A 20040-nucleotide genomic window follows, 5' to 3' on the forward strand; every position below is an offset into this window, starting at 1 on the left:
GAGTTGAATGCAATTCAATACTAGTAGTTGATGTTATATCATACTGAGCTATAATCCTGCTAAATTGCTAATCTACTAACTGTTGTTATGCCTCAGCTTTCATGTCACCATAATGCTTAGATAAATGACACAAAGACCAAAACATAGAAATAAGGATTCTGAGATATTGACTTTTTTTTAATTTCCAAATTTTACTTTAAGTTCAGGGGTACATGTGAAGGATGTGCAGGTTTCTTACACAAGTAAATGTGTGCCACGGTGATTTACCGCACACATCATCACATCACCCAGATATTAAGCCCAGTATCCGTGAGCTGTTCTTCCTGATCCTCTCCCTCCTCCCACCCCCGCACTCCAGTACGCCCCAGTGAGTGATGGTTCTCCCATGTGTCCATGTGTTTTCATCATTTACCTCCCACTTATAAGTGAGAACATCCGGTATTTGGTTTTCTGTTCCTGCATTAGTTTGCTAAGGATAATGGCCGCCACCACCATCCACCTCCCTGCCAAGGACATGAGCTCATTCATTTCATGGCTGCATAGTATTTCATGGCTGCATAGTATTCCATGGTGCATGTGTACCACATTTTCTTGATTCGGTTTATCATTGATGAGATGGACATAGCAAATATCACAAAGACACTTGGTCCTTGCTGTGGGAAATATCGCACTGTGGTGGGGCAGACAGACAAACAGAACAGCAGTTGAAGTGCAAAGGAGAAACACAGGAAAGGAAACCAGAGGAATAAAAAACAATTAATGTAGTGGCCACGAGGCAGGAGAAAATAACACAATTTTTAAAAGATAATCTTTGTCCATTGCCTTTGCCTCTTTTCTGAAAGTCAACTTATTAGGTTTGTGAGTCTATTGCTAGACTCTATTTTGATCTGTAGATTTTCCCCCAATATCACACTGTCCTGAATACTGGAGAAGTAACATAATTGCCATATGGGGCTGGATGATTAAAAATCATAATCAATAGCTTCATTCAATGCTCCTAACTCAAGGCAGCACCCTCACCTCAGCTGAGGATCCCATGCCTCCCACCTTTTCAGGAGTTCTGCTCCTGCACTGATCATTCCTCTCCCCTGAACCATCAACGGCTCCCTCTATATTGGATCAACCCCCAAGCCAAGGGGGATGTCAACTTCTTCCAACTCACTGATAACATAATCAATCAATAAATAAAATAGAATTAATGTGAATCTTGACATTGTGTGGGGTGAATTCCCCCAAGTTACACTTCAGAATTGTTCTAGATATTCTGGTTCATTTTCCTTTGTAGAAAATTTTGAAAATGGACTCCAATGAAGTGTGTTGCATAAGTTCATGCAGTTTTCCTTTGCAGGGCAGCAGACACATGTGTTCGTAGCTACAGAAGGACATGGGGGAAGAAGGTGAGTTTTCCCGTAGCTGGAGAATGATCCAATGTAGAGGGAGCAGTCGATGGTTCAGGAGAGAGGAGTGATCACTACAGGAGCAAAGCCCATGACAAGGTGGGACGCATGGTATACTGACCTGAGGTGAGGGGGCTGGCTTCAATTAGGAGTATTGTATGCAGAAGGGCAGCAGAGAATGTCCATGAATCACTGAAGGTGAGGGTGGCCTTGGGGGTCCCTGACACAGTGTCAACAACCGTGTGATTCACCAGCAGGACCCTGACTCACTACAATATGGTGAAAGCTTTCTTTGAGTAAAGGAAGAGTGAAGGGGTAGAGATGATGAAGCTGTCACTCCTGGGAGACTATGCATTTCCCCATAGTATGAAGCAACAGCCGAGCTGTTGTCTGTTATGAAAAATACATGTACTCCCAGCATTTAACAATAATCCCTCCAACTGCAAGAGAACTGGCTCACTGGATCCCTCAAACGCTGTTCTGCACAGGATAATGTATGGAGGAAAAGTGCAGCCTGGTGCTGACTTTAATTTTTGTTTTCTCCTGCAGGCAGGTAGAGACAGGACACAATTGTTGCCAATGAACTTTCAGTAGGTCAAAAATCCTGAACGTTTGAATTGCTGTTTCCTCCAAGTGGGAGGGAAAAAATTCAGTTTCCTGGGCTGGAGCAAAGCCTTACATAAACCTTAAAACTTAGATAAAGGAAAAATAAGTGAGAAAAAGGCCACGGGCAGTGGCTCACGCCTGTAATCCCAGTATTTTGAGAGGCTGAGGGAGGAGAATCACTTGAAGCCAGGAGTTCAAGACCAGCTTGGGCAACATAGTGAGACCCCTGCTCTACACAATTTTTAAAATTACCTGGGCATTGTGGCACATGTCTGTAGTCCCATCTACTCAGAAACGTAAGGCAGGAGGATCGCTTGAGCACAGAAGTCCTACGCTGTGGTGCACTATAAGTCGTCCAGTGTACTCCAGCCTGGGCAAAAGAGAGAAACCCTGCCTCAAAAAAGGGGTTGCAGGTTTGTGAAGACACATTCCAGCCTCGTCTTCAGCCGGGTTGCCACTGCTGCAGCCCCCTCTCAACATTTCAGGCAGGATCTCTCTTGGCCATGGTACTTGCAAGTGTGTGAATATTGAATTTAGTGCTAGGGGTTTAATGGAAATTACAATGATATAAAGAAAACCGCCACAGTTGTAAAATGCCTTTGCATTTTGTGGCTATTAAATCTGGATGTGTGATATCGATGGACAGGGTGCAGCAGTTTGACTAACTAATGCCACTGTCACAAGCAAGGAACTCATCTTTTCTACACTTCTCACCGGATAAGTGATAGAGACAAAAGGATTGGAGGTTATGCAAACTGAGTTTTACAATTATTACAAATTCAGGATTTCATCCTGACCATTTCTTAAATATGATGAATTTTTTCACGAAATTTATATTACAATGTGTTTTTCTGAATATGTTTAGTCCCTTCTGCCTACCACCCTTCCAGAAAAAAAAAAAAAAAGTTTTGAGGAAGAAACGGGATGATGAAAGAGATAAAAGCGTTTCATCACATAATACTCCATGCTGATTTGTTAACAATTGGAGAAAGCAGAAAACCTGGCACATGAGGAGAAGCAAGGGAGGGAAGGAAGACATAAGTAGTCTCTGTTTTTCAAAACTGTTCCTGGAAACTCTCCAGTTTTCCTCAAGACATACTTCCCATGCAGGCTTTCCTAGCTGCTGTGAGTCAACGCTGAAATCACACTGACTGATGAGCCATGATCACCTTACAGGTTTTCATGGAAATCAGTTACCAGTTGACAGGTTCAAAGGTGGAGTAACACAATATTAAAAAAGCACACAAGTGTGAACTGATTGAGTCTACAGCATGTATAAAAAGCCTTTATAAAAATTGGCCAAGATGGGAGGATCACTTGAGGCTGTGTGTTTGAAGGCAGCCTGAGCAACACACTGACACACCTCATCTAAAAAAAAAATTAAATACATTAGGTGGGCATGGTGGCGGCCATCTGCACTCCCAGCTACTTGGGAGGTTTCAGTGTGAGGAGGCTTGCTTGAGCCCAGAAGATGGATGCTGCAGTGAGGCGTGATCATGCCACTGCCCTCCACCCTTCACAACAGAAAAACACCCTGAGAAAAAGGCATGTGTAAATATAGACATAAAATTCTTTATTTCTGTCACAAAAAGTCTTTCTGAGACACACTCCGCACTAAGGGTGACGTGGGACTCTCTGTTCCCAACGTTTCCGGATGCAGGAGAATGGTTGGACAAGACACACACACAGACAGACACACACACACAAACACAGACACACACAGACACACATACACACACACACACACAAGCACACACACAAAAGCTCTCGCGTCCCTTTGTTTCCACTACAAACACCCTGGAATTCGGGTGTGGGGATACCAGGAAAACCCTGGTCGGCCCTGCCTGTGCCTGACTCAGTGTGTCTGCTATAAAGACACATGCACACGTATGTTTATTGCAGCACTATTCACAATAGCAAAGACTTGGAACCAACCCAAATGCCCATCAATGATAGACTGGATAAAGAAAATGTGGCTCATATACACCATGGAATACTATGCAGCCATGAAAAAGGATGAGTTCATGTCCTTTGCAGGGACATGGATGAAATTGGAAACCATCATTCTCAGCAAACTGACACAGGAACAGAAAACCAAACACTCCATGTTCTCACTCATAAGTGGTAGTTGAACAATGAGAACACGTGGACACAGGGAGGGGAACATCACACACTGGGGCCTGTTGGGCGATGGGGGTCTATGGGAGGGATAGCATTAGGAGAAATACCTAATGTAGATGACGGCTTGATGGGTGCAGCAAACCATCATGGCACGTGTATACCTGTGTAACAAACCTACACGTTCAGCACACATATCCCAGAACTTAAAGTATAATAGTAATTTTAAAAGAAAGAAAATGGTTCACGGCAAGGTAAGGTGGCTCAGACGTCAAATCTCAGCATGTTGAGTCATCGAGGCATGAGGATTCCTTCAGCCCCAGAGTTCACGACCATCCTGGGCAACATAGGGAGACCCCGTTTTACAAAAAATTTTAAAAGCATATACCCAGGCATGGTGGAGCATGCATGTAATTCCAGCTACTTGTGAGGCTGAGATGGAAGGATTGCTTGAGTCTGGGAGGTCAAGGCTACTGTGAGCCATGATTTCTCCACGGCACTACAGGCTGAGCAACGCAGTGAGGGCCTGTCTCAAATGAGACAAAAAGAAAAGAAAGTGTTTCAGGGCCAGCTGCGATGGGTGGTGAAGCTTCATTTCAAAGGTCAGCCACTGCCATGGGACACTGATGCTAAGGATGGTTCTGTAGTAGTCATGGCTCTGGGACCCTGGGACTGATGTCCTTCCACTCGGGGAGGGCAGCCCTCTCCAGGCTGGGACATAGGAGGAAGGGGCCAGGCTAGATCATCAGGCTACGAGGGACAGCTGTCTGCTGTGGAATGGCAGATGAGATCAGGAGAAGGACAGCTGAAAGGAGGAGAGGGGAGACGCACTGCTCAGGCGAGGGGCCGGTCTCCTAAAAAGGGAAGACATTGGCCCTAAGTCGTGTCATTGCTCTAGGCTCCCGTGGAAGCACATGATGGTGCAAGAAGGAAACCAAGGCTGGTGGGAGGGGAACAATAGCTTGCATCATGCCCCATCCTATGTGTTCAGTGGCCCCTGAAAGGAGCCCATGCCTTTTGGGGATCGAAAAGGTCATTTCCTGACACAACTCCATTCACCACCCATGAGGAGCAGGGATTTGAGATAAACTGAGGCCTCTGGGGAGAAAGGCCAGTAAGAGTTGTGAGGTCTTCTCATAAGACGCACTGCCTTACCCTTATGGTGATTTTCACACTGTGTTCATCATGTCCTGTGTTTCTGTGTGCTCTGAGGTCGCTCTTCTCAACTTCATGTCTGTCCTGGGAAGAGTGGATATATTTCAGACAGTCTTGCTACCTAAGGGATTTAATAAAGTTTCTGGAAGTTCCCTAGGCTGGGCAGTGAATTCCCAGATCCTAGGACACCATTGTGGCCACACTACATAAGCTTCACTGGGTGTGATTCCTGGAATCTGCACTTTTAACAGATCTTGGGCTCTAACTTTCACAGAAGCTTGTCTGAGAACTACTAGAGCAGGGGAATAGTCTGCTTTCCCAGCTCCAAAGCTTCTTTCTCCTTTGTGAAGGTATAGAAGGGACAGGTTTGTAGTATATAAAATTTTAAAAATGTATGTTTGTTCTATTTCATAGTTTGTGCTTTTTGCATCCTGTCTATCTTTATCTTACACGATGCTGCAGATTCCCTTACATTTTCTTCTACAAGTGTTGTAACATTAGCTTTCACATTTAGTTCTATGAAGCATTTTGAGTTAACTTTTGTGTATGGTGTGAGGCAAAGTTTGAGGTTCATTTGTTTGCATGTCAATGTCCGACTGTTCCAGCACCACTCCTGGAATAAAACATCCTTCCCCACTGAATTCTCTTGGCACTTTATGGAAAAATCCATTTAACTTGAATATATAGATCTAGCTTCGGACTCTTATGCCTTTTCTTCTGCCAATATCACAGTGTCCTGATTAGCATAGTTGTCAAATGCATCTCGATATCAGGTAATGTGAGTCCTCCAATATTCTTGGTCCTTTATAAAATTGTTAGGCTATTCTAGTCCCTTTGCTTTCCCATATAAATTTTGAAGTCAGCTTGTCATTTTATAGCAACAAGAGGCTGCAGGGATTTTTATTGGTTTACACTAGACATATAGATTATTTGGGAGTAACTGACATATTGACAATCTTGAGTCTTGCAATCCATTAATGTGGTATGTCTCTCTATTTATTTCAACGTGGTTTCATATTTTTCTGAAATGTTTTTTAGGCTTCTGAGCACAGGTCTTGCACATATTTTGTTAAATTTTACCACTACAGATTTCACGGGGGGGTTTGCTGCTATATTAAGGGATATCGACTTTCAATTTTCAATTGTTTGTTGCTGGCATATAAAAATAGCATTGACTTTTCCATGTTCATCTTGTACCATGTTACTTTGCTAAACTCACATGGAGGAAATTCCATTTGGCTAGGATGTAAATTTTTTATGTTGCTAGTTTCTAACTCCGGTTAATTGTTTTTTACAGAGTTTGTGTCTATGTTCATGAGTTACATTGGTCTGTCATGTTATTTTCTCATAATGTTGTCTGGTTTTGATATCAGGCTTGTGCTTGCTCTGTAAAATGCTTTGGAAAGTGTGGCCTCTCCTCAATTATCTTGAGTGGAGAACTGGTGTTATTTCTCCCAGAAACGTTTGGCAGAATTATCCAGTGAAGTCACCAGAAACATGAGGTTTAATTGAGAAATATCTTTGTTGAGTTTCTTTGTTGCTTTTACTGAATCCAATTCCTTTAATTGATATACGGCTATATATGTCGTTTATTTGTTTTTTAACGTTTCATTTATGTCCATTTTTATGGGTATTTAGTAGGCACACATACTTGACATGTTTTGATGCAGCTTGCAATTTGAAATGAGGACATGATGGAGATTGAGGTATTCCTCCTCTCAAGCATTTATCCACTGAGTTGCAAATAATCCAATTATACTGTTCATGTTATTTTAAAATGCACAGTTACACTCTTTTTTTGTTTGTCTTTTTTAGCACTTGTCCACTGTTTATTCATTGGAAGGAAGGCCCGGTCCTAGGTAGACTCGACCTCCCCCGAGGAACCTTGGAGCCAAAGGCAGGAGGCTTCCAGAATGCTTAGACTCTGATCCTCCTTACTATCACCCTGAGACCTGTCTCACCAAAGCCTTCTTCTGTCCATGGTTTTCTCACTGGATCTACAAGGGAATCCCCCCACAAGTCTGGGGTCCAGTGTGGTCACTCCTGATGGTTTTCAAGAAGGGGAAGGCCAGGAACCTAGGGAAATACCTCATTTGGCCCGACCACAACTGGCCAGAGCAGGACAAACATGCCATGCCATGTCAGGCGCCCAGTTACCCAGCTGGAGGGAAAGTCAGTCCTGAGAGGGTGGAAGGGGCCAGTCACAAATCCCGGATAGATAGTGACCTGGGCTCCACAGGTGAGCTGGGCTCTGATGGCTTTCCCTGCCTTTGGAAACAAGGAGGAGAAGTTTTTTGCAGAAAAAGCCTCTTTTCCTTCCAGAACTGCTGTTTTATGACAGCTGTTTCGGCAGTGAGTCTTGTGTCTGTTATGAGGGTGGGTCCCCCTCTTGGCCCTGCTCTACAGAAAATGATGGAGCAGGGCAAGCTGTCCTCAGTGAATGTACACCAGAATGGCCTGGACGTGAGCCACGCCTTCAGAAACCATGCGTGCTCCAAGAGCGCTACAGCATCAAATAAGGCCTATGGAGGGTCCCCATCTGAAGGGCATCGGGGAGGTCTCTGAGTCGAGGTAGGTGTCTCAGAGAAGAGGGTGACAGCCCAGCCTACTGCCTGGAGTTCTGGCATTGGGTAGGGACTGCAGAGGGCCCGGGAACGGGGAGGCTTTCAGGGAAGTCCTAGGGGCTCTGAACACCTCTGCTCCTTCCATGAGGACAAGGAAATGTTGTGCACCCAGACTGCCACCTTAATGTGCTTCCCACAGCACTCAATTGATGGGGCAAGGATGCACAGGAGACCGCCCCCCCTCCCCAGTCCAGTGACCCTGCTGCCCACAGTGCCTGGCTTCCCCGCTGTAGGGTTCTGACCCCTCCAGAATGATCCTGCTCGTCTCCTCTGCACAGGAGGCAGAGGCACGTCCCTGCAGGGCACAGAAACCATGCCGACATCCCACAGCAGGGGCTGGGGCTCAGAGCCGGCATCGTGTGCAGACTGGGCTAGGACTCACCTTGGGAGAGAACTTGGGGAGCCCCTTCTTCCAGGGGCCACATCCCACTGAGATGAGTCGACCCCCATGAGGATCTGCAGGATCTTGTCTGACATAGCCTCATTGGGAAGGGGGGTCTGATACTGTGCAGAGTGGGTCCCCGGCACTACAGACTGGGATCCCAATAGGCTCTGCTCACTCCACCAGCCATCAGCCTTGACAGGCCAGGTCCTCCCAGGCCTGCTGTCCCCACAGACCCCTTTTGGGCTCATCCTGAGGCTCTGGGAGGTCTGCCTTCTGCAGGGCGAGCACAAGCTCACAGCCAGGACATAAGCGGCATTCAAAGTTCATAGAAACTTGTCCCCATGTGCCTGAAGGTAGCAGGAGGACCACACAAGACAGACCTCAACTGTCCTGAGGGCAGCACTTGCACTGTCCACACGACCCTCTGCTCTGGCCTAGAGGGAAGGCCAAGCCAAGCCAGGCCTGGTCAGCTGTGCAGGGCACCGTGAGTCCTTCTGGAAACTGAGCCCACCCCTGACACGACACAGATGAAAGGCAGGAGCGTGGTGAGCATTCCCCTGCCTGGGCCTTCCCTGCATCCATGGCCTCCTGTGCACAGCTGGACCCCAGGGTTGTCCAAAAGGGGCCCAGCACTGCCCACTGGGAAGTGCCCAGAGCAGAAACGAGGTGAAGGCACAGACCTCTCCCAGGAGACCCCACCTGGCCTGATGTGCAGCCCCATTCCTAGAACATCTCCTGAAGCTGTCTCTCTTTGGCCCATGGGAGCTCCTTCAGGACATGCTGTCTCAGGCCTGGACTCTTGAGGACCACGTGGTGCTCAGGCCTCCATGGTCGAGTTGAGAAGGACACACTGCGACCTGCATCCCACGTGGGCTCCAGCCTCCCGAGTCACCCTCTGAGGCATTAAATCATGGGGAGTGCCCAGAACCCTCCATCCCTACTCCCTGGGCCTTCCTCCTTTTCCTCTTCCTTCTCAAAGAAGTTTCTGAAAACAGGCCAGCTGGGCCCCAGGGCAGGTGCTAGACTCGCCTCAGTGACAGGGCATGGGATGAGGGCAAGACCCCTCCAAGCCCCTCCCCCACACCCTTCCCCTCCTGGCCTAGAAGAACCCTAGGGGGCACTGGAGGGGTTGGTCCCATCTGTGCGAGCCAACACCCACAGCTGCCAGCACCAACGCCAGAGAACAGCAGGGGCGCCTCACTCACAAGCACCCCTCCAAGTGTGTCACGACGGCAAGCCTTGAGCCAGGGAATGGAGAGAATCAGTGTCTCAGACCCAGAGAGAGGATTCAGGGAAACGGTGCAGTAGGCCCCTTGGTGTGGGAAGTCATGGCATGGCGTGGATTGTCCGGGATGGCAGAGGGGCCCAGTGCCCAGGAGCGTCTCACGCGCTATGGAGACAGATCCTCATCTTAGGTGGCAAGGGGGCCAGGTGACAGGTAAGGCCTCTCCCAGCTGGGTTCTGCACCAGGGCTGAAGCCCAGACCGAGCCGCCCTGGGGTGAGGGTATGAGGCCTGGAGCCCCGAGCCAGCCTGAACCCTGGGGTCCGTCTCAGGAGCAGCCTGAGATGCTCTGACAGCAACCATGCCCCAAGCTGCACGCACCCCTCACTCTGGGTTCAGCAGCCTGTGGGTGTTTCCTCAGTGTCACACCAGGTGGGCCACTAGAGACCCCCAAAACTCCAGGGGCCCAGGTTCATGAGGCCCAGCCCTGCAAGGAACAAATGGGCTTGGTGGAGAAGTGGACCAAATCTGCTTTTCTTTCAGCCAAACCCGCAAAGATCCCTAGGAAGGTCCTGGGCCTGGAGCGAGTGTCCCTGGCACCCAGGCCTCTGTGGGCATCCCTCAGCATGCAGACCCTCCCCAAGGGGGATGGGCTGGCCCTCCGTGGCCCACCAGCCCAGCTCCAGAAGTCCAGAAGCTGACCCTGAGGCCAAGGCCCAGCAGCATGAGGGGACTTCTGCAGAGCCCCGGGCAGCAGGACACTCTCTGGGGGCTCAGCCGCCCAGAGTGCAGCAAGTCTGTTCCTATCTCAGGACAGACCCCAGGATTTTGGGCGATTTCTGTGTGGGTGTCCTCTCCCAAAACTCCCCATGTACCTGGACATCCAGGGCTCATGGTTTCTACAGTGCAGCTTTGAGCAGGCATGCTGAACTCCTATTCCTTCCACATCTGCTCTGGACATCGCCAGGACCAATGGACAGGCCCATCCCTGCAACCCCAGCAGGGCTCCAACAACCAGACCCGGCCCACCCCACTGAAAACCCAGAGGTAGGACCACAGAAACTCCCCTTGCATGGTGGCATCTGGATCTGACGTTTCTCTGAGGATAGTGACCTGCACAGCCCCAAAGCAGTCAGTACTACTGCTAGGCCATATGGGATCAATATCAATGGGGAAGCTGGGCCCTCAGAGGCTGCTGGAGGGGAGAGTGACTGTGGCATCTGCACAGCCCCAGCCAGCCAGCAGCATATCACATGTCCTCATGTCTGCCCATTCGTGTGACAGAGCCTCTCTCACATGGCAAGCGTCCTAGAGCCATGGGGCTGCGATCCAGCCCAAGCCCTCCCCAACCAAAGCCCTAAGAGAAAAAGGACCCAGGGGAGCCATGGGTGCCCCAGAAACAGCTAAGATGGATACACAGGGGACTGAGTTCCTGGGACACTGGCCAGAACTAGACTGTGGCCCAAGGCAGGGCAAGCCCCTTAAAGCAGTGTGTGGGTACGCAGGGCCTGTGCATGCCTGGCAGAGCCAAGCCAGTGACGTTACCAGGCTCAAAGAGCAACCATCCACGACGGCCATGGTGGGGCAGGAGCAGGTGGGCCAGCCCCCTGCCTCATCAACTCAAGGAATCAGGGATGGCTGGGTTCCCAGGCCCTGAGTGCCCACCACCTGACCATTAGTGAGGCAGAGACATGAGGCCAATCACATGATCCTGGGGCCCTGCTTCCATCTTACAAGAACTCCTTCAGCTCACAGCACCAAGAAAAATCCTGGGCAAGTGAGGGTCCAGGAGGCCAGGTTCCTACGTCTATTCTCCTTGTCAGGTGCATTTTGCCACTGGGAAAAGTCAGAAAAGGTGGCCTCAGTCCATGTAAGCAGGCTCCAAAGTAGGCACCATAGCTGCAGGGGGAGAAGGAGCTCCTGGCGGCACTGGAATAGGCTCTGGCAGGATCCCAGATTCTGTGATTCTGTCCCCCGCAACCTGTTTTTTGTTTTGTTTTTTTTTTTGTTTTTTTTTTTTTTTTTTCCCCTTGAGTGCTTGGAATCGTCCCCATTTTACACGGAGTCTGCAGCCATTGACAATCAGTTTATTAGAGGACTTGTCGGCACCCACTTCTGTAGCCACCCTGTGGAAAGCTGGATGAAAGGCACACTGCTATCTCTGCACAACGGTGACCATCCGGATCTCACCAACAGGCAGAGACAATTTCTTAAATCTGTCTGAGTAATGGTATCCGCCAGATCACCAACATACACTCTGGTGGAATCCTTCTCTGCTGGTGATTCAAGATGAAGCGTGGTTGAAGCCTGCTTTAGAAGCTTATCTGCTACAGGGTCATTGTTTCCACAATATCGATCTTTAATATTTTGACCAGCAAGAGGGGGTCATCGGGATCTGCAGGCTTCTCATGTCTTTACGGACAGTCCTCTCCTTTCACCTGGACAGAACAAATGTAAGGCTTATTCCTCAGCCAGTACAGTGTGGTCCGGGCCAGTTTGAGCAGCATCTCACTACTGGACGTGGCTTTCCCCAGCAGAGCAACTGGCCATGTTCTATCAGGGTTAGAAATTCCTCTGTCCATATCTGCAGTCACCTTTAAAGGCAAGTCTGTGTCATGAACCTGTATGGGCAGTCATACTCTAGGTCTAAGAGGCAAGTCTGACAGACATTTCCTGCAGGCTTGGCCCCCTTCAGTCTTCTTGGGATGCATGTGCTCCCCCGGGCACCAGCCAAACACTGAATGGCCTGACAGAGTTTGCATTTTTTCTCATAGTTCTCCTTGGTCATGTTTCTCTGAGACATATCTGGCACAGAATGGAGAAATCGACGTCCTCCCAGTTTTGCCTGTTTTAGGCGCTGGAACCCAGAGAGGTCGCCATCTTGAGAGGGTCGGCAGGCAGCAGTAGATTTCCAGGTGGGAGAGAGGACCCCCAGAATCCCACCAGACCCAGCTCTCCTTCCTGGTGCTGTTCTTGAGGCCCTGGATAATTGCCTTTCACCATACGTGAGTCATCTTTCTTGAGTCAAGGTGAACCTCACTTCCAAGGAATCCCCATTCTTGTAGGACACTCTGTGCTTCCTGGTCTCTCCAGGAGCTGGCTAAAATTCTATGCTTTTTCATTGGAATACTGAGATAGACAGAAGTGCAGTTTTTTTACAAGTGTCTTTATCCAGCCATGGCATTAATTTCCCGTTTGGTAGGAGGACAATAGTCTTATTTTCATCAGTATGTGTAGTGCATGTTAGTGCACAGCATGAACCTTAGAGGAAGACTTCTACCTTGAGATGTGAAATGCATCAATACTTGTGTGGAGTTAATAAACCTGCTCTACCTCCACAAGTGTCAGCTTCCTCACCCATACAATGGGGATCACACAACGACTTCTTCAAGTTGTTGCCAGAGTTACATTCACCAAGATATTTAAAAGTACCTAACTACAAGGGTCCACAGCATTAATAAAACTGCATCAGACTTCAATGCACACAAAAGGAATAAAGTACATGCGTCCAAAGACGAGATGAGCAGCTTTCTAAGCAGCCTGATGAGCATCAGAATGAGATCTACATTTAAGTAGAATTCTTCACAGCTCCACTGAAGAGGACACACATGGGGGCTCCAAGAAGATAAGCACATGGCCATTGCACAGTAACTGGTGTAGTGTGGATGGAATCCCTGAAGACCCTCTGAAATATCATTACACAACTGGCTCTCAGGGAACACTGGAACAAATCAGGAAACTCAGCAGATGCTACCAGGAACTGGGTGAGCAGAGGGGGGTCACATCCACAAATTTAAGCAGAAGACACCAAACCGCAAGGAGCTCCTGGCTCTGCAACAGCAGCTGTGGTGGCATCGGGGCCAATCTTCTGAGACAGCTGCTGTGGGATTGCTGAGACCATGTGTTTTTGCAGCCACACACCCAAAAGCAGTGCATTTGAAAACGGATCACAACACTCTCCTCTCCATTCATCTTTGTTTTAAGATGACTGATGATGGATACCCTCACATTGCAACATCCCCACCAACACTTGTGGACAATCGTATTTAGAAAATCCCACCTAAAGAGGGAACAGTCAGGAGTAGGATGAGAATATTGAGGGATGGGGGAGAGATGCGGGTACTTCACCCCAGACTCTGTTTGAAACAAGAGCCATTGTGCTGTGGTCTCCCTATACTTCCTCATTTTGCCGCATTCGTAGATGCCACCTGGTTTTTGTCCCTTTACTTACAAAGGTGCTGATGAGCCCATGGGTGGTTAATCCTGAAGGAGGAAATTCTTCACAAAATACAATAACAGAGTCTAATTTCAATGACCAGGTTTTTTAGTTTTTTTTTTTTTTTCATAGTATCCCACATTAAAAATCACAAATGAAACCTGTTGGAATGTGTGATATGAACAAAGTCTTATTTTCATGCAGATTAACAACTTGGCTTTTACGGATTACACATAAAAGCATAAAAGCTGGTACCATCCCAGAATCAAAGGAACAGTCCCAGAGGACATACGGAATTTAGTGACATCAATTATTAAGAGGCTACACGAAACTGGAAGTGCTCCCAGAAGTTTTCATTGTCTAGACAGAAAAATTCAAGACATCAGCCCCATCGAGTAAAGGTACGTCCCCTGGCTGCCGTGGGTGATGAGCTTTTCATTCAAAGCAGAGATATGAAGCCTGAGGTGTCTCAAAGTCACCCCAAGTGCTCCACACCTTGAAAGTCACTCCCACAAAGCTGGAACACCATCTGTTCCTGAAGGATCAGGTCATGACCTGTATCTTTGAGACACTGGGCAGTCAGGCCTCAGTTGAGATGAAGCCAATGATTTCAAGTGTAAAATACCTAAAACCAAATCTTTAGGTATCTATTAGCAGCCCCGTCCACTTAAATGGGTTGGTGAACATGGCCCATCAGACAGACACACACCTGAGCACTGGGGTTTTCTCCTCTGTTCTTAGCATCCCCTGGGTAAACCAGTAATTACCCTCCCTCATGCCTCAACGTTCACATCTGTGAAAAAGGTGATGGGGAGAGTGGCCTTTCCAGGAAAGCGGAGCACATGTCAACACCTGCTAAGCTCTGAATTTGTGCGTGGGCCCAGGCGACGGATTTCTCCAGAAAGCGGCTGAACTGGGACTCTGGCTGAAGAGAGCGGAGGTCAGCAGCACAATGCACAGCCCCTGGGACCTCAGGCCAGTTCCATAGCAGCTTAGGAAAGCAGTTGGGTCCCTAGGCTGGAGGAGGCCCGGTGCTCTGGAAAGATCCAGGGTGCGGGTGGAGAGGAAACGGAGCTGAGCAGTGAGAGGTGGGGTGAGCACCACGTCCATCCGGTTTGGGCAAAGGCAAGGTGTCCTTTGCAGTGTCACACCCTCCTCACTACTGAGCCCAGAACTGCCTCTCATGGCCTTCTCCAGACTCACTTCCCATGGCCAGGAGGTGGCACATGATCAGTAGCCGGCACATGATCAGTAGCCAGCATCATTCTTCTATACAGTTAACTTCTTATTGACTACCGTCTCTCGGCTGTGCTATCAAATAGGACGTCTTATTCAGTCTTTCTAACTATGTTTTTGGTACCCATTACCATCCCCACATCCCCCAAGCTCCCCACTACCCTTCCCAGCCTCTGGTAACCATCCTTCTACTCTCTGTGTCCATGAGTTGAATTGTTTGGATTTTTAGATCCCACAAATAAGTGAGAACAATTGATGTTTGTCTTTCTGTGAATGGATTATTTCACTTAACATATTGATCTCCAGTTCCATTCATGGTTTTGCAAATGAGTGGCTCTCAATTTTTTTTATGGCTGAAGAGTACTCCCTTGTGTGTATGTGCCACATTTTCTTCATTCCTCTGTTGCTGGACGCTTAGGTTGCTTCCAAATCTTAGCTATTGTGAACAGTGCTGCAACACACATGGGAGTGCAGATATCTCTTCGATATACTGCTTTCATTTCTTTGGGGCATAAACCCAGCAATAGGATTGCTTGATCATATGGAAGCTCTATTTTTAGTTTGTAGAGAAACCTCCAAACTGTTCTCCGTAGTGGTTGTATATTACATTCCCACTGACAGTGTATGAGGGTTCCCTTTTCTCCACATCTTCGCCAGCATTTGGTATTTCGTGACTGTTGGTTAAAAGCCATTTGAACTGGAGTGAGATGATATCTCATTGTAGTTTTGATTGGCATTTCTCCAAAGATCAGCGATGCTGAGCACCTTCTCACATGCCTGTTTTCCATTTGTATGTCTTCCTTTGAGAAATGTCCACTCAAATCTTTTGGTGATTTCTTGATCAGATATTAGATTTTTTCCGATAGAATTGTTTGAGCTTCCCGTATACTCTGGTTATTAATCCCTCGTGAGACGGGTAGTTTGCAAATATTTTGTCCCATTCTGTGTGCTGTCTCTTCAATGTGTTGATTGTATCCTCTGCTGTGCAGAAGCTTTTGAACTTGATGTGATCTCATTTGCCCGTGTTTGCTTTGGATGCCTGTGCTTGTGGGGCATTACTCAAGAAATTTTCGCCCAGGGAAATCTACAATCTAAATGTCTTGTAGAGTTTCCTCAATATTTTATTGTAGTAGTTTCATAGTTTGAAAGCTTAGATTTCTTTAACCCATTCTGATTTGATTTTTGTATATGGTGAGAGATAGGGGTCTAGATTCATTCTTCTGCATATGGATATCCAGGTTTCCCAGTACCATTTATTAATGAGACTGTCTTTCCCCAGTGTATGTTCTTGGCACCTTTGTGGAAAGTGAGTTCACTGTAAGTGTGTGGGTTTGTTTCTGCTTTCTGTATTCTGTTCAATGGGTCTATACGTCTGTTTTAATGTCAGTACCGTGCTGTTTGGGTTACTATCTCTCTGTAGTATGATTTGAAGTCAGGTAATGTGAGTCCTCCAGATTTGTTCTTTTTTGTTTAGAATAGCTTGGCTATTCTGGGTCACTTGTGGTTCCATATGAATTTTGTGATTGCTTTATCCATTTCTGTGAGAAATGTCACTGTCTGTTGTTGTTTGTTTTTTTTTTTTAGGGATTGCACTGAATCTGCAGATTGCTTGCTTGTATATGTTTTAGAATGAGTTTTGCTAGCTAGTGTCCTTCAAATAATTTTTTCTTTCAATATAAATATAAGTTTTTGGATAACATTTCTTGAAAGGTTCCCTGTTGTACATTTAATATCTAAAGGATCTGTATTGACGTAACGACCCTCTGGGTTTGCTGATATTAATATTTGTAGTCTCTGTGTCTCCCTCTCTCATCAGTCTGGATAAAGGTTTATTAATTCGAGTTGTCTTCTCAAAGAAACAATGTCTGGGTTTCACTGATAATTTCTATAGATTTTTATCAATTCTATTTAATTCATTTTTCCTCATGTCTTTTAAATTTTTTCCTTCTTTTTTTCTCCTTTTTTTTTTTTTTTTTTTTTAACAGAATCTCGCACTGTCACCCAGGCTGGAGTGCAGTGGCATGATCTCGGCTCACTGCAGCCTGCACCTCCCAGGTTGAAGAGATTCTCCTGCCTTAGCCTCCCGAGTAGCTGAAACTATAGGCGTGCACCACCAGCCCAGCTAACTTTTGTATTTTTAGTAGAGACCGGGTTTCACCATGTTGGCCAGGCTGGTCTCGAACTCCAGACCTCAGGGGATCGGCCACCTCAGCCTCCAAGAGTGCTGGGATTACAGGCATGAGCCACTGTGCACGGTCTAACAGTTTTCCTTCTGACTTTGGGTATAATTTGATTTCATTTTTCTAGTTTCTTAATGTGGAAACCTAGATAATTGATTTGAGACTTTTCTTCCTTTCTGGCATAAGTATTGAAGGGTATAAATTTCCCTCTATGCTTTAGTTTCATCTTGCAAAGTTTGATAAGTTGAGTTTTCATTTTAAAATTTTTTCCTGCAATTTCTTCTTTGATCTCTGAGTTACTTAAATGTGACATTTAATTTCCAAGATTTCATGAGTTGCAGACATCTTTCTACAACTAATTTCCATTTCAATTCTTTTTTTGGTCATAGAACATGTTTTATAACATTTCATTCCTTTTGAATTTGTTGAGATTTGTTTTTTGGCCCACAATATGGTCTATCTTGGTGAACATTCTATGAGCACTTGAGAAGAATGTGCATTCTGCTGTTGATCTATGAATATCAATTAGGCCATGCTGTCTGATAGTGTTGTTCAAGCCTTCTGCATTTATATATCCTGATTTTTTGTACACTTTTTCTACCAAATGCTGGGAGTAATGGGGAAGTCTTCTACTAAAGGCACATGTGTTTATTTCTTCTTTGTGATGATGTATCAGTTGTCCCTCAAGTATTTTGAAGTTGCCTACATATCCGTGGTGTTTCTGTCTTCTGAATCAATGCACCTCTCTATGATTATTATGTAATGTCCCACTTTGTCCCTTGTAGTAATCTCCACTATAAAGTGTGCTTTGTGAGATACTAATTTCACACTTTGAGTTTATGTGATTCATATTTGCAGGAAATATCTTTTTCCATCTTTTACTTGTATCTTATTTATTTGTAGAGTGGGGCTCTTTTTTTCAAGATACAGATTACTGATAAATATACTGTGAAAATCAAGATCCTCTTGCAACTGTGCAACAACAATAAAAGTACCGAAAAATTAGATGCAGAAGTTAATATACAACTAAAATGTTACGCAGAAATCCACAGAATAATCTGCTCGGCTCTTCAAAAGAACCTCAATCAAACTCTTTGACAGCCTTCATAGAAAGATATCTTCACATTAAAGTGGTATATTTATATGAAAAATATAATTTTATCCCCCTATTTTCTACAGTAGGGTTTTGGGTAAAATTTCATTTCACGAAGGTGTTCTTTTGCTAAAAATCCTTTGAGAAACAACTATATAAAATGATCTCTCAGAGCTCTCTTAGCTTTGAAATGTGGAGATTCAAATATCCCTCTGTAGATTGAGGAGGAGATGTAAAAAAAAAAAACAAAACAAAACAAAAAAAAAAACAAAAAAAACCACGGGGGAGGAAATGTTGGTCTCCTGCACTTTTCTTTTCTTTTTCTTCCTAGACTAACCAGTTTGTGTTGGTCCTCCGCTGAGCTGTTAATCCAGGGAAGAGTTGCCCTTCTGAAGAATATGTGGATTTAATGGAGACCAAGGCAGGTTTGAATCGCTCAGAAACAACAGCCAGAATAACTTTTGAAGGGCTGTAAATGAAGATGATTCAAATCCTCTGATTTATGTTACTTTTCACTCAAGTTTCTAAAAGTGCCTTCCCATCAAGAGCTGTTTGGCTAGGGACAGAAACGTTTGTTCAGCCCTATTTTTCTCTTCCTTCCTTCCTTCCTTCCTTCCTTCCTGCCTCCCTTCCTGCCTCCCTCCCTCCCTCCTTTACTTCTTTCCACCCTCCCTCCCTCGCTCCATTTGTCCTTATTTTCTCCCTTCCTCCCTGGCTCCCTTCATGCCTCACTCCCTTCCTTCTTTCCTACCTTTTATAAAAAGAAGTGAACTGATATTTGTAAAGTAGAAAGATCAGAAGAGTTCACAATTATTTTCGAGTTTTCTTTTAACTTTTATTTTGGGTTCAGGGTGCATGTGCAGGTTTGTAATATAGGTAAACTCATGTCATGGGGTTTGTTGTACAGATTATTTCATCACCCAGGTAGTAAGGCCAGTGCCCATTAGTTATTTTGTTGATCCTCTCCCTCCTCCCAGCCTCTACCCTCTGATAAGCCCCAGCGTGTTGGCCCTCTCTGGGTGTCCATGTGTTCTCAGCAATTAGCTCCCATTTATAAGTGACTTCATGTGGTATTGGGTTTTCTGCTCCTGCATTAGTTTGCTAAGGATAATGGCCTCCAGCTCCATCCGTGTTCCTGGAAAGGACATGATCTCACTGTTTTTTATGGCTGCATAGTACTCCATGGTGTATATGTACCACATTTTAAAAAGTGCAGTCTGTTATTGATGGGCATTTAGGTTGATCCCATGTCTTTGCTATTGTGAGTAGTGCTACAATGATCATACATGTGCATGCGTCTTTATAATAGAAAGGTTTATGTACCTTTGGGTATAGTCCCAGCAATGGGATTGCAGGGCCAAATGGTATTTCTGTTCTTAAGTCCGTGAGGAATTGCCACACTCCTTTCCACAATGGTTGAACTAATTTATACTCCAACCAACAGGGTATAAGCGTTGCCTTTTCTGCACAAACTCACCAGCGTCTGTTATTTTTGTTCTTGCTTTTTATCCAGCCTTATAGACTCTGACTCTGTTTTTTGAGACAGGATGTCTTTCTGTCTGTGAACGTGAATTCCGCTGGTGTCTGAGACTTGCCAGGATTCCAGCTCTCTCAAATGCCTGTGTTCGAACTTTATGAATTTGCTACATTTTCACTGGTTTTCTTCTTACCCCCTGTTATGGCTGTCACTTCTTCCACACATGCTCTGCCACAGGTGATGCAGTTTGTTTGTCTCATCCCTCCTCAGAGGGACTAAGTCACCATTTTGGATCAGTTCCCATGGCTGCCTTGTTACCTCAGGTCTCTC

At 46.1% G+C, this 20040-nt stretch overlaps 1 pseudogene; it reads right to left on the bottom strand.

Moving 5' to 3' along the window:
* On the bottom strand, window positions 11519-12458 carry RBM22P6 (RNA binding motif protein 22 pseudogene 6; annotated as a pseudogene).

Source organism: Homo sapiens, chromosome X (genome assembly GCF_000001405.40).
Source record: "Homo sapiens chromosome X, GRCh38.p14 Primary Assembly".
In the NCBI taxonomy this organism is placed as follows: Eukaryota; Metazoa; Chordata; class Mammalia; order Primates; family Hominidae; genus Homo; species Homo sapiens.